The sequence below is a fragment of the Homo sapiens genome, chromosome 3 (genome assembly GCF_000001405.40).
Source record: "Homo sapiens chromosome 3, GRCh38.p14 Primary Assembly".
Taxonomy (NCBI): Eukaryota; Metazoa; Chordata; class Mammalia; order Primates; family Hominidae; genus Homo; species Homo sapiens.
In genome coordinates this window covers 194,553,369-194,570,381 of record NC_000003.12, presented here as the reverse complement: position 1 = coordinate 194,570,381, position 17,013 = coordinate 194,553,369, and the positions used below count along the sequence as shown (strand labels likewise).

Genomic DNA, 17,013 nt, shown 5'->3' with positions numbered 1-17,013 from the left:
TTTCACTACCCCTTCGCAGTCTGCTCGCAATCCGTTTGCGGCCACAGACAATCTCCTTCTGGAAACCATGCGTCTAGTAGATCAGTGGCAAGCAAAGTGTCCAGTTTAGCCACAGGTCTTTGTGTGGCTGTGCTTTGAGGGTGCAGCGGATGCTTCTCTCTTGGGAAATGATAAATTCCACCCTGTAGAAGGTTATTTGGGCTGATGGAAAATCTAACAGACCGCTTGTCTGGAATAAGCAGGATAGTGAACCCCCTCAGTCAGGCCTGAGCCGTTACCAGTTGCCTGCCCTTCAACTTTCTGTCAATATTGTTCAAATTTCTCTTCCTTCGAAGCTGAATTTGTTGGTGTGACAAAAAATAATCTTTTTTTTTTTTTTTGAGACAAGATCTTGCTCTGTCACCCAGGCTGGAGTGCAGTGGTGCTATCTCGGCTCACTGCAACCTTCACTTCCCAGGCTCAGGTGATTCTCCTGCCTCAGCCTCCCGAGTAGCAGGCATTTGCCACCATGTCCAGCTAATTTTTGTCTTTTTAGTAGAGACAGGTTTTCGCCATGTTGGTCAGGCTGGTCTCGAATTCCTGACTTCAGGTGACCCACACGCCTGGCCTCCCAAAGTGCTGGGATTACAGGCATGAAGCACCGCGCCTGACCAAGAAAAATAAAATTTTATTAAAAATTGCAACCTCTGCCTCCTGGGTTCAAGCGATTCTTGTGCCTCAGCCTCCTGAGTAGCTGGAATTTACAGGTGTGCACCACGACTAAATTTTTGTATTTTTTAGTAGAGATGGATTTTCGCCACGTTGGTCAGGCTGGTCTCGAATTCCTGGCCTCAAGCCTGACCAATCCACCAGTCTCTGCCTCCGAAAGTGCTGGGATTACAGGCATGAGCCACTGTGCCCGGCCCCATTTTTTTTTTTTTTTAAAGACAAGCTCTGGTTCTGTCGCCCAGGCTGGAATGCAGTGACACCATCTCGGTTCAGTGCAAACTCCGCCCCCCAGGCTCAAGCCATCCTCCCACCTCAGCCTCCTGCACCACCACACCCAGCTAATTTTTGTATTTTTCGTAGAGCCGGGGTTTCTCATGTTGCTCAGACTGGTCTCGAATTTATGAGCTCAAGCCATCCACCTGCCTTGGCCTCTCAAAGTGCTGTGATTATAGGCGTGAGCCACCACACCTGGCCTTAACAGCCTCGTGTTAACCTAAGCACCTCCAAACTGTATCTCCAAATACAGTTGCTGGAGGTACAAGGTGTTAAGCTTGAACAACTGAGTTTTGGAGTACCCGCTTCAGCTCACAGCAAGGCCTGGATCGTCTTTCACCTAGTCTGTCTGCCTTCGGCCTTTCCTTCCTTGAAACCAGCCTCCACAGAGCAATCGATGGGCCTACAGCACATTGGTGATCATGTGAATGCATCCGCTGCTGAAAGGCTCTCCACCTTCTACAGGGGGCATTGTGATGGTCAATTTTTTTTTTTTTTGAGACGGAGTTTCACTCTTGTTGCCCAGGCTGGAGTGCAATGGCACGATCTCGGCTCACCACAACCTCTGCCTCCCAGGTTCAAGCAATTCTCCTAACTCAGCCTCCCGAGTAGCTGGGATTACAGGCACCTGCCACCATGCATGGCTAATTTTTTATTTTTAGTAGAGATGGGGTTTCTCCACATTGGTCAGGCTGGTCTCAAACTCCCGACCTCAGGTGATCTGCCTGCCTCAGCCTCCCGAAGTGCTAGGATTACAAGCGTGAGCCTCCGCGCCCGGTGTGATGGTCAATTTTATGTGTCAACTTGGCTAGGCTACAGTCCCATTATTCAATCAAACTCAAATCTAGGCATTGCTGTGCAGGTATTTTATAGATGTGATTCAAGTCCATAATCAGTTGACTTTGAGGGAGATTATCCTAGATAATCTGAATGGGCTTGGTTCAGTCAGACCTTGAAAGGCCTTCAGAGCAGAGCTGAGGGTTCTCTGAAGAAATTTCATCTGTGGGCAGCAGCATTTGGTAATGCCTGAGAAAGTTATACCTTGCTTTTTCTGGTCTGCCCTTCAGACATCAGATTTGCCTACCCAGTCCCCACAGTCACACAGGCCAATTCCTTGCAATAAATCTCTTAATATTTATCTCCTAGTCGTCTTTGTCTTGGTTATAGTCTGGCTAATACAGGCTTTGGTTCTGAAAGTGGTTCTAAAAGAGTAGAACCTTAAAAATGAGTTCTTCTTTATATATTTATTTATTTATATTTTAAGATAGGGCAAAACCCCATCTCTACTAAAAATACAAAGATTAGCTGGGTGTGGTGGCACACACCTGTAATCTCAGCTACTCGGGAGACTGAGGCAGGAGAATCACTTGAACCTGGGAGGCAGAGGCTGCAGTGAGCTGAGATCACACCACTGCACTGCAGTCTGGATGAAAGAGTAAGACTCTGTCTCATTAAAAAAAAAAAAAGTGGGGAAAGAAAAGGATGAGTTCAGGGCTTCAAATTCCTAGCTCATGTTTTGCATAAATGATCTGAAAGCTTCTCTATCTGCCCTGAGAAAAACTCTTATCTCCTGTGGTTACAGGACTGAGATTTCTGAAAATAAAATCCAGGGTCTTATCCTCCAAGTAGCTAAATTCCAATGTAAATTCAATTCTCAATCTTGCAGGATCTTTTATTAAAGCAAGGGCATTGACTGGGAAGGAATGGGATACTGATAATTGGAATTGGGACATATGGGCAGATCCTGATGAAGCTGGGATCATCAAACCCCTAAATTCTGCCAAGTCTTCTTTGCCAAAAGTAGCCTTTCCTGTCTGAGCAGATTGGCCACACTCTGCAGGTATAAACCTCATAGGCCTCATCTAAGTTGCCTCGCAAGGTTCTGCGATTCTCCTCAGGACACACCCCTGCCTCTCCTCTTGTGCTGGGATTACAGTCATGAGCCACTGCACACAGGTGAACAACAATTTATTTCTCACAGCTCTGGAGGCTGGAAAGTCCAAGATCCAGGTGCTGGCGGTTCTGGCACCTGCTGAATGCAGTCTCCTGGTTTGCACATGGCCGTCTTTTTGTGGCTCCTCACATGGTGGGAGAGAGCAGAGAGGAAGCAGGGTCTCTGTGTCTCTTTTCCTAAGGAGTACTGATCCCTTTCACGAGGGCTCCGCCCTCACTACTTCCTAATACCATCACATTGGTGGTTAGAATTTCAACAGATAAATGTTAGGGAGATACAAACATTTAACCCATAGCATGGGCTATCACCAATGGACTGGCTGGATGGTCAGAGACTTAAAGGGAACATAATTGGAAAGTTGGTGACAAGGAGGTCTGAAGAAGGAGTAAGCAGATAGACCTCTCTGAATAGGGAAAAATGTGAAGATATTTATGTTCCACATGAGTGCTCACCAAATGGTAACCTCGGCAGAGAGAGAATTTAACAATAGGTGGATGGGATGACCCATTTTATGGATACCAGTCAGCCTCTTTCCCCAGCCAGTTCTGTCATTGCCCACTGGGCTCATGAATCAAGTGGACATGGTGGCAGGGATGGAGGCTGTGTGTGGGCTCAGCCCCAAGGCTGACCTGGCTGCAGCCAGTGCTGAGTGCCCAGTCTGCTGGCAGCGGAGAGACCCTGATAGGACCCCAGGGTTATCAGACAGCTACCTGGTGGCAAATTGATTACACTGAATCATTTCCATCATAGAAGGGCCAGCACTTTGTTCTTACCAGAATAGCTACTTACTCTGGATACAGATTTGCCTTTCCTGTAGACAATGTTTCTGCTAAAACGACCGTCCATGGATTTATAGCACGCCTTATCCACCATCATGACATTTCACACAATACTACTTCTCATCGGAGAACTCAATTCATGTGGCAATGAGCCCCAGCTTACGGAACTCAGAATCTTACCATGTTCCCCATATCCTCAAGCAACTGGCTTGATAGAGTGGTAAGATGGCCTTGAAATTGTTTTTGTTTATTTTTAAATTAGAGACAGGGTCTCACTATGTTGTCCAGGCTGGTCTCAAACTCCTGGGCTCAAACGAGGAATTACAAGTGTGAGCCACTGTACCTGGCCAGAATGGGCTTTTGAAGACTCAATTACAGTGCCAACCAGGTGGCAATACCTCGTGGGGCAAAGTCCTCTAGGAGGCTGGATAGTCTCTAAATTAGTGTCTAATACATGCTACTGTTTCTTCCATAGCCAGAATTCACGAATCCAGGATTCGAGGGGTGGAAATGGGAATGACCCCACTCGCCGTTGCCTGTAATGATCCACTAGCAAAACGTCTGCCTCCTTTTCTTGTGACCTTAGGTTCTGCTGGTCTAGAGTCTTAGGCTTAAAGGGAGGAATGCTTCCACCAGGAAACACAGCAATGATTCCACTGAATTGGAATTAAGACTGACCCTCAACCACTTGAGGCTCCTCATGCCTCTGTATGAACAGGCAAAAAGGGGTTTTACTATCCTAAGCAAACAATACAGACATTTCTAAAAAGCTTGTTTAGAAGGGCACATTTTCTAGCAGTCCTTCTTATAAGAAACAGAAAGAAGAAATAAGTGCATATGTGGGATGAGTCCCTCCCAAAGTTCCAAGATAAGTATTTGAGGAATGTGATGGTCTTTTTTATGTGTTAACTTGGTTAGGCTACATTCCCCAATTATTTACTCAAACACGAATCCAGATGTTGCTGTGAAGGTACCGTATTTTATAGAAGTGACTAAAGCCCGTAATCACTGACTTTGGGTAAGAACGGTTATCCTAAATCATCAGATAATTCAAATAGGTGAAGGGTTTTTTGTTTTTGTTTTTCTTTTCAGATAGAGTTTCACTCTGTCACCCAGGCTGGAGTGCAGTGGCACAATCACAGCTCACTGCAGCCTCCACCTCTCGGGCCCAGGTGATCCCCTGCCTCGGGCTTCCTGGTGGCTGGGACTACTGGTGCGCGCCACCATGCCAGGCTAATTTTTTTTTTTTTTTTTCCAGATGGAGTTTCGCTCTGTTGCCCAGGCTGGAGTGCAGTGGTGTGATCTTGGCTCACTGCAAGCTCAGCCTCCTGGGTTCATGCCATTCTCCTGCCTCAGTCTCCCAAGTAGCTGGGACTACAGGCGTCCGCCACCACGACCGGCTAATTTTTTCATTTTTTTAGTAGAGACGGGGTTTCACCTTGTTAGCCAGGTTGGTCTCGATCTCCTGACCTCATGATCCACCTGCCTTGGCCTCCCAAAGTGCTGGGATTACAGGCGTGAGCCACTGTGCCCGGCCTTTTTTTGCATTTTTTATAGAGATAGTGTTTCACCATGTTGCCCAGGCTGGTCTTGAACTCCTGGGCTCAAGTGATCTGCTCGCCTCCAAAGTGCTGGGATTACAGGCGTGAGCCGCCGGGTGAAAGATCTTAAGAGCAGGGCTGAGGTTTCCCTGAGGAAAAAGAAATTCCACCTGAGAACTTGCATGTCCTTCCTGATGGACTGCCCTGGGGCTTTCAGACTTACCTAGCCATCCCCCACCATTGCATAAACCAATTCCTTGCATGGAACCTCTTCATATATCAGCATACATATCCTACTTGCTCTGTTTCTGTAGTTGAACCCTGGCTGCTGCAAACATAAAAACCTTTCTCTTCAAAGCCTCTCCCATTTCCTACCTTCCCATCCACTGTAGGAACCCAAGAATTAGGCAGGAACATGTGAGCATAATTTCCCCGAGTTAATGGAAAAGCACATTGTGATAAAGACCTAGGGTTGAGAAGGCAGCGGGACCTCTGTTCTACAAAGTGAAAGATTAAAGCTGTGTTGACAAAAGGAATGCGAAGTACTTATGTAGCCCCTTTGAAAGTTAACTAATCCTTGAGGTGCAAGATGGGTCTAATTTTTTTGCTAACATATTTGGGGGAGAGCAAACTGCACTTTGAAATGGGAGTCCCTTTTATCCTGAATGTCCTTTATGTCCACTCTTGGGTCTCAGAGCTACCTCTTCTCTGTACCCAGTGACAGAAAGTGAGGACAGCAGAGAGAGATGCTGGAGGCTGCACAATTTATAGGGACAAGAGAGAACTAGGGCCAGGATATTTCTGATAAGAGTGTTGGTGACTCAGAAAAATGGAGTTGGGAGATGCAGGGACCCCACTAGGGCTACAGAAGAAAGGGGGAATATGAGAAGGGAGAAAGGCCAGCATTAGAAAAGGAAGGGACAGTCACATGGTTGTAGGGCAGCTCAGTGAGGTCCAGACTTTTGCTGAGGGCAAAAGGACAAAGTCTCAGACAAGGGACACAATGCCTCGCTTTCCACACTTCCAACTCTGTAGGGTTCACGGTCATCATTGGAGCTTGGAGTACATATCTGCCCACTCTTGTTCAGGTGCTGAAGTCTAAAATAGGAAAGAACTTTTCACAAGATGGCACTCAAGGCGAAGAAGGAAGCTCCTGCCCCTCCTCAAGCCAAAGCCAAAGTGAAGACTTTAAGGGCCAAGAAGGCAGTGCTGAAAGGTGTCCACAGGACAAAGCCTCCATCGCACCTGCCCATTCCCCAGAGACCAGTCATCCACATCTGGTGGCCCAAGACACTGCGACACCACAGGTAGCCCAAATATCCTTGGAAGAGTGCCCTCAGAAGAAACAAGTTTGACCACTATGCCAGCCTCAAGTTCCCACTGACCATGAGGAGATTGCAGGACTAAGGTCTCTGGAGAATGAGCAGGTGCGTGGGAGGCTTTGTGGTTCTCATCCAAGAACAAAAAGTATAAAAGGGCCATTGGTGGCTGGGTACGGTGGCTCATGCCTGTAATCCCAGCACTTTGGGAGGCCGAGGCGGGGGCATCACCTGAGGTCAGGAGTTCAAGACCAGCCTGGCCAACATGGTGAAACCCCGTCTTTATTAAAAATACAAAATTAGCCGGGCATGGTGGTGCATACCTGTAGTCCCAGCTACTCAGGAGGCTGAGGCAGGAGAATTGCTTGAACCTGGGAGGCAGAGGTTGCAGTGAGCCAAGATCATGCCATAGCACTCCAGCCTGGCAACAGAGTGAGACTCCATCTCCAAAAAAAAAAGGGAGGGGGGCCATTGGCACTGCTGGAGAAGCAGCCATGAAGACAGAAGGCAACACACTTGTGTTCACTGTGGATGTTAAAGCCAACAAGCACCAGATGGAACAGGCTATGAAGGAGTTCCATGACATCTGTGTGGCCAAGGTCAACACTGAGTCAACCTGATGGAGAGAAGAAGGGAGGGAGCTCCATGACATCAATGTGGCCAAGGCCAACACTGAGTCGACCTGATGGAGAGAAGAAGGGAGCAAGCTCCATGACATTGGTGTGGCCAAGGCCAACACTGAGTCGACCTGATGGAGAGAAGAAGGCATGTGTCCACTGGCTCCTGATGACCATGCTTTGGATGTTGCCAACAAAATTGGGATCATCTAATCTGAGTCCAGCTTGCTAATTCTAAAGGTATATATGTATCTTTTCACCAGAAAAAATACAAATAAAACAAAATAGAAAAGGGAAAACCTCCTTCTCCAACATCAGGGAATTAGAAACACCTTCTCTGAGGCTGCAAAGGGTGCAGGGAAGGGGACAAAAGAAAAGCGTCCTCTGCAAAGTGATCGGGAGAGCAGACAGTAAATGGAAGTTAGAAGGTTGCAGATTTCAGCTCTCCCAAGAAACACCTTTTTTTTTGAGATGGAGTCTCGTTCTGTCACCCAGGCTGGGGTGCAGTGGTGCAATCTCAGCTCACTGCAAGCTCCACCTCCCAGGTTCAAGCGATTCTCCTGCCTCAGCCTCCCGAGTAGCTGGGACTACAGGCGCCCACCACCATGCCCGGCTAATTTTTTGTGTTTTTAGTAGAGACGGGGTTTGGTTTCGATCTCCTGATCTCGTGATCCACCCACCTCGGCCTCCCAAAGTGCTGGGATTATAGGCATGAGCCACTGTGCCCGGCCAAGAAACACCTTTTAAATGCTCTTTACCAATAAAGAGAAATGGGCTACCTCGGGAGGGAGGGGGTTTCTTGTCCCCGTAGGTGTTAGTTGACACAAGGTGACCACCTAGCAAGGGTGGCATGGGAAGGATTCAAGCAGTGACCTCTAAGGCCGTAGTCAACAATATACTTTTCTATTTATTGAAAGACTTAGATATGAAGATAACTTTAAGAATATTTGGCACTAGGACTATAAAATATGCTATTATAAGCTCAGAACTAAAACTCATCATAGGGAGACAGAGCTGGACAAGTTTTGTTTTTGTTTTTGTTTTTTTTTTTAAGAAGGAGGTCTCACTATATTGCACAGGCAGGTCTTGAACTCCTGGGCTCAAGCTATCCTCCCACCTCTGCCTCCCTAAGAGCTGTGATTACAGGCATGAGCCACCGCACCCGGCCAGGACAGGATCTTTAAAATAATCTTGTCTAATGTCCCTCTTACCCTCCCCTCCAATTTTATGTGAGAAAATACCCAGAAAGATCTTTAAAATAATCTTGTCTAATGTCCCTCTTACCCTCCCCTCCAATTTTAAGTGAGAAAATACCCAGAAAGAAATGACTAACTCCAGATGACACAGCTAAAAAGTAGATGTGGGCTAGAACCTGGAACTTGCAGCCATGCTCCATCCATTTCTTAACATCTTCTTTTCAGGTCTCTTTATCAAAGCTGCCCAGCAATATCTGGAAACTTACCAGGAAAAAAATAATGGAAACAATTAAACCTTGACAAATGACAGCTTCTTCAGATATGGTTTAAACACAAAGAACTATAAGGAACTCAACTGCTCAAACTCCTTGATAACATCAAGGAGAAGGAGTCATTTCACATAAATCTCAGAGATGATGTCATCGAAACATACAAGTAGCAAGTGGAAGTTACAACTCATCCTGAAGGAAATGATTCTTATAAATAGTTTTGATCTGGAGATACCATTTGGCGTCTTAGAATCGTAGACTCTTGAAATAGGAAGGCCTACCGCAGAGGCTATCGGATCCAGGGCGTGCTGGCCGCACAGTGTCAGCAAGGTCAATGCCACTCTCCACTTGGCTTCTATAGGACTTTGTCCTGGCCACTACTCCAGTATTTTGCACATTAGAGCACACCAAATTGAATGGAAGTTTTTTCTTCCAAAATTAAAAAAAAAAAGTTTTTTTCTGATGATAAGATAAACATGCTTATTGTGAAACTTCAAATAGTACAGAGAAGTATAAAGAAGACTTACCAGAAATCTCACTGCCCAGAGATAACCACTGCGAGCATTTTGATGACTGCCATTCCGTTTTCTCCAGGCACACGTTTGCACTCACGCATCCATATTTTGGCAAAGTTTGGACCAGAGTACAAAGGCAGTTTGTCATATTCTTCTTTACACTAAACTATTTATTTATTTATTTATTTATTTATTTTTGAGACAGAGTTTCGCTCTTATTGTGCAGGCTGGAGTGCAGTGGCATGATCTCGGCTCACTGCAACCTCCACCTCCCGGGTTCAAGCGATTCTCCTGCCTCAGCCTCTGGAGTAGCTGGGATTACAGGCGTGTGCCACCACACCCGGCTAATTTTTGTATTTTTAGTAGAGATGGGGTTTCACCATGTTGGCCAGGCTAGTCTCAAGCTCCTGACCTCAAATGATCCACCTGCCTTGGCCTCCCAAAGTGCTGGGATTACAAGCATAAGCCACTGTGCCTGGCCCTACACTAAATCATTTGTATAGACCCACAATTTCATTTTAATGGCTGCATAGTAGACATTGTATGAAGAGATCTTCATATAGTCAACCACACTCTGATTGATTGATCGATTAGGTGTTCTCAGTTTTTTACTAACTTGGGGGGTTAGTTCTTGCTTTAGGGAAAGAGGTCATCTTGGCCACCCTTGGGAATGTGAATTAACTTTGGAAACTAAAAGCACTTTGCTTCCTCCAAAGTAGTTAAGTGTTTGCGGGTGATTGCGGGGCTAAGGTCTCTGGAGAATGGGCAGGTGGGTGGGAGGCTTTGTGGTTCTCCTCCAGGATAAAAGAATATAAAGGGGCCATTGGTGCTGCTGGAGAAGCTGCCATGCTCCAGGGGAAGACCTCAAGGATATGTCAGTGCCTGGAGCCCGGCCTGACCCTGGCTGACTTCCGGGTCAGCTTGCGACCCTGCCCCGGCTAACCTACCTGTGGAAAGAGCCAGAATTGAAGACTGGACCAGCCCCTGGTCCAAGGTCCAGCTTGCCCAGGCCAGTTGCTGCTCTGCAACCAGAACTCCACCTGTGGCTCCAGGAAGAGACACAGCTGCCTGATACTCACTAGTGAAAGCCAAAGCTTTACCCACTTCGGGGCTTCGGCAGTTCACCAAGGCAACTGCTACTCCGTCACCAATGCTTCCCCTTACACGTACAGTGAGAGACCACACCATCAATTAATCCCCACTGGTGCTATGGAAGGTGGAGACTGAGGGGCTCTGGCACCCAAACTCTGAGGACATCCTGGGATATAAAAGTGCCACCACCAATACCTGCAGCTGAGGGGAGGTGACAATACCACAGTGAATACCTTTTTGACATACGTCTTTACATATGTATCCAATTATCTCCTCCATATAAACTCCTTTAAGTGGCATTACTACATCTGTGGGAAAATGTGGAACAAATCTTGCAGCAATGCTGGCAGGTGCCTGGGAAGGACCAGCTGGCCCACTGCTGAGAACCTTCACGGGGCAGCAACTTGTGACAGACGTAGCCACTGTTCAGAGTCTGGCCTTGTAGGTTCAGCACCCCATAGTCAATGGGACTCCCAAAGCAGACTCACTCAGAGGAGACTGGAGGGGACAGAGCAGAATGTCCAGCGATGAGTTTATAATGAAATGTATAAATGCTGGGAGAAGCAGGCGTTTGAGTCAGCCTGACCAGCCTGCTCTCTCTTGCTGTGGAAATCAGCATGGGAAGCCAAAATCACAATCAGAAGGTTAATGGTAAGCCTAGAATCCAGGAAGGGGAGTTAGTTTGGTGATCTGAATGATGGCTGGATGCATCGTCCATCCCACCACTAGGGTAATATACACCCTTCAGGTGACAGTGGGGGCAAAGGAAAGTCAGGTGAGTCGTAAGTCAGAAACTGCTCTGTGGCTAAAGTGAACCCCTAGCCATTCTCCTGCAGAGTCCTTCTTCTATCTGGCAATACTCTGTGCACCTGGGGACTCATAGCTTTTCCTGCAGATAGAGAGGGTAAAAAATCACACCATAGACCGGGCGCGGTGGCTCACGCCTGTAATCCCAGCACTTTGGGAGGCCGAGGTGGGTGGATCACGAGGTCAAGAGATCGAGACCATCCTGGCCAACATGGTGAAACCCCATCTCTACTAAAAATACAAAAAAAAAAAAAAAAAAAAGGCCAGGTGTGGTGGCAGGCACCTGTAGTCCCAGCTACTTGGGAGGCTGAGGTAGGAGAATCACTTTAACCCTGGAGGCGGAGGTTGCAGTGAGCCAAGATTGCGCCACTGCACTCCAGCCTGGGCAACAGAGCAAGACTCCATCTCAAAAAGAAAAAAAAATCACACCTTAGGGCCCTATTTTTAAAAAGAGCCCATCCATATCTTTTTTTTTTTTTTTTTTTGAGACAGAGTCTCACTCTGTTGCCCAGGCTGGAATGCAGTGGCACAATCTCGGCTCACACTGCAACCTCCACCTCCCAGGTTCAAACGATTCTCCTGCCTCAGCCTCCTGAGTAGCTGGGATTACAGGCACCCGCCACCATGCCTGGCAAAATTTTTGTATTTTTAGTAGATATAGGGTTTCACCATGTTAGCCAGGATGGTCTCAATCTCCTGACCTGGTGATCCACCTACCTCGGCCTCCCAAAGTGCTGGGATTACAGGCGTGAGCCACTGCGCCTGGCCCATATCTACTTTTCTTATTCACTTGTTCATTTATTCACTCGACAAATGATGGTTGAGTTCTGTATAGGTCCTGGGGAGACAGCAGGGAGTAAAGTAGATGCAATTCCTGCTGTCATGGAGTTCATATTCTGGTGGGAGAGAAAGACGATTAATGAATATGCAATGATTGTATATTTATTTGAGCACACCATTAATTAAACAGGACAATTTCTAACTATAAAAATCTATATGTGGCCGGGCATGGTGGCTCACCCCTGTAATTCCAGCACTTTGAGAGGCTGAGGCGGGTGGATCATGAGGTCAGGAGTTTGAGACCAGCCTGGCCAACATGGTGAAACCCCGTCACTATTAAAAATACAAAAATTAGCTGGGCATGGTGGTGGTGTGCTCCTGTAATCCCAGCTACTTGGGAGGCTGAGGCAGGAGAATCACTTAAACCCGGGGGGGCAGAGGTTGCAGTGAGTCAAGATCACGCCACTGCACTCTGGCCTGGGCAAGAATGAGACTCTGTCAAAAAAAAAAGAAAAAAAAAAAAGTCAGGAGCAAGTCAAGAGAAACATGGATAAAATCCTGGGCTAATGTCACCGAAAACCTCCTGGAGTACCATAGGTCTCAGCTGCGTGATTTCCCTCCTGCATCTCACCATGTACTGAGATTTGCTGGAAGCGCCCGGGATGTTTAGGTGTGGTGCCCCCTGAAATGTTTCTTCCTTCAGGAGGGTGGGAAAGAACATAAATTTCATTGTCTTCTCAGTCGAAAAAGAAAAAAAAAAAATCCCCTATGGCCTGATGCAATTAAAAAAAAAAATCCATGTGATGTACCACCCCAGCATCTCAGAGATTAGACGCAGAAACCCAGGTCATGTCCCAGAAGGGAAGAGTGAGGGAGGAAGAACTCTTTTCAGGGATTGATAGGGTGAATGACTGGAAGTTTCTACAATGGGAAAAAAAAAAAAAAAAAAGGCTGGGTTATCATTCCTGTCATTGCTATTATTGTTGTTATTATCAAAAACATGTAAATAGTCCTCTTAAATTATTGTCCCTCTTAAACAATAAAGGTGATAACAGAGACTTCTTTGGGCATTTGCAAACCCAAAGAGAATATTGTTATATATTGTTATTCACCAGCAGCTTTGCTTTAAGGGACCCAGCAATGACTGTGAGATCCAGACAATTCCAGGGGAAGGTCTAGGTGTGTTGTTTGGGTGACTGAAGAGGGTCAGAGGGCCCTTTAAAGAAACGGGTGGGGGGAGGGGTGAGAGATAGCATTAGGAGATATACCTAATGTAAATGACGAGTTAATGGGGGCAGCACACCAACACAGCACATGTATACACATGTAACACACCTGCACATGATGCACATGGACCCTAGAACTTAAAGTATAATAATAAAAAAAAAATATATATATATATATAAACAGTCAAAACAAACAATAATAAAGTTCATACTTACATAGGCAAGAAAAAAAAAAGAAACGGTTCTGGCAGAATGGAAAAGGCACTTTCAAGGGGAGAAGGGGCCATTTGAGTAGTTCGGGTGGTACACAATGAGGAAAGATGTTGAGGGAAGAGAGGAGAGGGCAGAGGAGAGGCACGGTGGCATTAGACACCTATGACAGGGCAGGATGGGAGGAGGGGTGAGAAAGATGGAGCTGCAAGATGTGTCTGAAAAGAAGAGCTGAGTCATGGGTGGGAAATGGGGGTCACCTGGACAGTGACACAATATCTGTGTTAACCAGGGTTGTTGGCACCGGCTGTAGCCTGCCCTTCCCACTCCCGATCGCGGTTCTGGACACAACAAAAACTTATTTATTTCTCTTTCATTTCAAGGTCGGATGTGGGTGGAGCTGGTGGGGGCGGCACTCTGACACAGCTGTCTTCCAAACTGGGCATCCTGGCTGTGCTCATGTGTGTCTTCACCATCTTGGAATCCTTTGCTTCCAGCCAGGTGGACAGAAGAGAAAGCAAAGCTTTTCCTTCACCACCACAAACCGGAAGTGAGCCGTAACTTCTGTTTGCTTCTGTTGGTAAAAATTCATCACACGGCCATTGCTAGGGAGCACAGGAGGGGCCCTGCAGCCCAGGCCTTGTGTGGCCATTCAGGAAGCTGACCCGTCAGGAGGGAGCTGGTCACTGTAGGAGTCAGGAGGTGTTAGTCTCTGTGAGTAGAAAGGAGTTCCCTAGGGTGCCTCCTCACTCCAAATCACACCATGCTGTTTTGTCTGGAGAGTCCCTGGCTAGGCTTAGGGTTTGGGGGACACCAGGGACAACTGAGGCTCTGGCAGTCCCCCCTTGTAGATGGCAAAACCCTGTACTGCAGGTGGCTTGTTGTTTATTGGGGTCAGTGTGCCCTTTAATACTCCTTCCAGCATGAAGATTTGAGGATGAATGTTCAGGGGCTCTGGATTCTTATCCTCTCTCTCCCACTACCTTACCCTCTGACCCCACGGGAGTCTCTTCTTCCTGGGCCTCGGCTTCCTGAGCTACAAACGGAATGGGCTGGCCTGCGTGACCTTTAATGCTTTTCCAGGCACGAGAGTCTATGTCCCCTTAGGGACAAGCTTGAACCACCTCATTTCTGCATCTCCTGAGCTCTTGGAAAGGAGTGAGGCCTGGAAGACTTTCTGGGGTTACTGCTGTGAGCTTCAGCCCCACCTGATCCTACCTAGAATTGCATCATCAAAATAAGAGACTTCTTAAGCTCATCAGCTGCTTGCAGCCACTCAAAAAGTGCATGATCTGAATGGGTAGAGGGAGAGACCCAGTGGCCTGTGCCAGGGCTCCGATTTCAAGGCAGCACGGTGTCCTGCCTCTGTGAGATCCAGCTGTGAGCGAGGCCTGAACATCCATAGATGTGAGACCAAGTTACATCCGTCAGGGTACCAGCAGGCAACAGATGCACACCCGGAAGTGTTTGCACAGGGGGAAAAAAGCTTGAAGCAGAGACTGTTCACAAACGTGTAGCCAGAGGCAAGGAACCAACAAAGAATGGTGAGGTGCCCAGGGCCGGGGACCAGGCCTGAAGGGGCAAAGGAGGAAATGTTGTGAGCAGAGTTATGGGAGACGGACCTTCCCACAGAAGCCAGAGCCATAGAAGAATGTAACAGCAGGAAAGCAGGGTTGAGCCAGCGCGGATGGGGGTGGGATGGAGCAGGGAATAAATGTGTCAACCTCCAATCTCTTGCCAGCGCCTCCCATTAGACAAACCCAACAGGAAGCCAAGGGAACAGGGACTCTGGTGATGCAGTTATAGAAAACACAGAGGGCAGGAGAGGCAGTGGACAGGGGAGGCACATGGAGAATAACCAGCTCGGGAGTCTGGTTATCCCATGACAGGGGGAGTCTGAATGGCCTGGACCCTGTGGTATACTGGCAGTGAAATTCCCAGCCAGGTTGATGATGACAGCAGTGATAACGAAGAAGGTGACCCTATCTTAGATTTATATAACTGTTTTGTCCTCCAACAATATCGGGTTACCCAGAGCATCTTTCAGGACATCTGAAGGAGCCTGGTGGAATTCTCTGAATCTTGCATCTGAGATTTCTTTTAGATACAAATTTAGACCCTGCTCTGACTTTTTCCCGAGTGGTAACACTAGCTGCTCTGTCAGTCCTGAGAGAGTTGGAAGAGTGGGATAAATTTAGACTAGAGTTATTGTGCCTCAGCCAATATGTTAAATACTTGATTTTTAACATGACCCTGACCTCCGTGCCCTGCATAACCACATATTCCCCGTCCTCTATTTGACCAGCCTCTAGGTCTCTCACCCCCACACTGATGTGTACCTCCCCGCCTTCGCCAGCTATGAATAGTTGGTGTGGACAAAGAGACTGGGCGTTGGGCTGCCATCAGCTCCCACTCCATCAGATACCATCACTGTCAAAACAAAGTCAGCTATGTGGAAACCCTTGCCATGCCTCCTGCCTCCTTTTGGAATGCAGCGTTCTGACTGCAAGTACAGAGCGGCAATTTATAAGCATGAGTTGGTGCAGAAAACAAGTCACAAAACCAAGAAAATGAATATGATATGGAATGGCATGAAATTCAGGACTGTCGACAGAGATAGAATGGAGCCAGGAGAAGATGATGCTTCAAGATTAACATACATGAGAGACGAGGGCCAAGAAACCAGGCCTTGGATATTTTTTTATTTCTCTGCATACTTGAGTTCACTGTAGTTATTACTGTTAATAGATCATTTTACTCTAGCACTTTTCAAATGTTTTCGTGCATTAGCCATGCATCTTAGTACTTAAAAAAGGTACAGAATTTTTTTCTTTCTTTTTTTTTTTCTTTTTGAGATGGAGTCTCACTCTGTCGCCCAGGCTGGAATGCAATGGTGCGATATCGGCTCACTGCAACCTCCACCTCCTGGGTTCAAGCAATTCTCCCGCCTCAGCCTCCCCAGTAGCTGGGATTACAGGCACCCACCATCATGCCCAGCTAATTTTTGTATTTTTGTAGAGACGGAGTTTCACCATATTGGTCAGGCTGGTCTCGAACTCCTGACCTCAGGTGATCCGCCCACCTTCGCCTCCCAAAGTTCTGTGATCATAGGTGTGAGCCACTGCACCCAGCCAATATTTTTTTTTCACTCTGTTATATACTGTGCTCTTTTCTTTTTTTTTTTCTTTCTTTTCCTTTTTTTTGTTTTTTGAGATGGAGTTTTGCTCTTGTCACCCAGGCTGCAGTGCAGTGGCGCAATCTCTGCTCACCGCAACCTCCACCTCCCAGGTTCAAGACATTCTCCTGCTTCAGCCTCCCAAGTAGCTGGGATTATAGGCGTCTGCTACCACGCCAGGATAATTCTTTTTTTTTTTTTTTTTTTTTTGTATTTTTAGTAGAGATGGGGTTTCACCATGTTGGTCAGGCTGGTATCAAACTCCGGACCTCCGGTGATCCGCCCGCCTCGGCCTCCCAAAGTGCTGGGATTACAGGCATGAGCCACTGCGCCTGGCCTTAGTGTTCTGTTTCCCAACTTTGGGTCACAACCCATTAATAGGACATGAAATTAATTTAATTGAGTGTGGTCAGCATTTTTCAAAAAATGAAATAGATGGAATATAAGCATCAGAGTATATTATAGAGAGAAAGCTAAGTGTTGTATGATACACCTGAACACGCATGCTGGGCATCTACTTAAATGCATTCTTCACCCAGGCCTCGGTGTAGC

At 47.0% G+C, this 17,013-nt stretch overlaps 1 pseudogene, besides 4 other annotated features; it reads left to right on the top strand.

Moving 5' to 3' along the window:
- On the top strand, window positions 6,370–7,455 carry RPL23AP93 (ribosomal protein L23a pseudogene 93; annotated as a pseudogene).
- Window positions 13,421–13,750: an enhancer, noted in NCBI's record as "active region_21028". NCBI's record gives its function as "activates an Ori minimal core promoter by ATAC-STARR-seq in GM12878 lymphoblastoid cells {active_cell/tissue: GM12878}" and the evidence as "EXISTENCE:reporter gene assay evidence [ECO:0000049][PMID:35858748]".
- Window positions 13,421–14,144: a biological region, named in NCBI's record as "H3K27ac hESC enhancer GRCh37_chr3:194276967-194277466".
- Window positions 13,645–14,144: an enhancer, noted in NCBI's record as "H3K27ac hESC enhancer chr3:194276967-194277466 (GRCh37/hg19 assembly coordinates)". NCBI's record gives its function as "activates a minimal SCP1, AML or CMV promoter by ChIP-STARR-seq in naive H9 embryonic stem cells {active_cell/tissue: H9 hESC(naive)}" and the evidence as "EXISTENCE:reporter gene assay evidence [ECO:0000049][PMID:30033119]".
- Window positions 16,548–16,746: a silencer, noted in NCBI's record as "fragment chr3:194274365-194274563 (GRCh37/hg19 assembly coordinates)". NCBI's record gives its function as "represses an EF-1alpha promoter that drives an FKBP-Casp9 reporter gene in an ReSE screen in K562 erythroleukemia cells {active_cell/tissue: K562}" and the evidence as "EXISTENCE:reporter gene assay evidence [ECO:0000049][PMID:32094911]".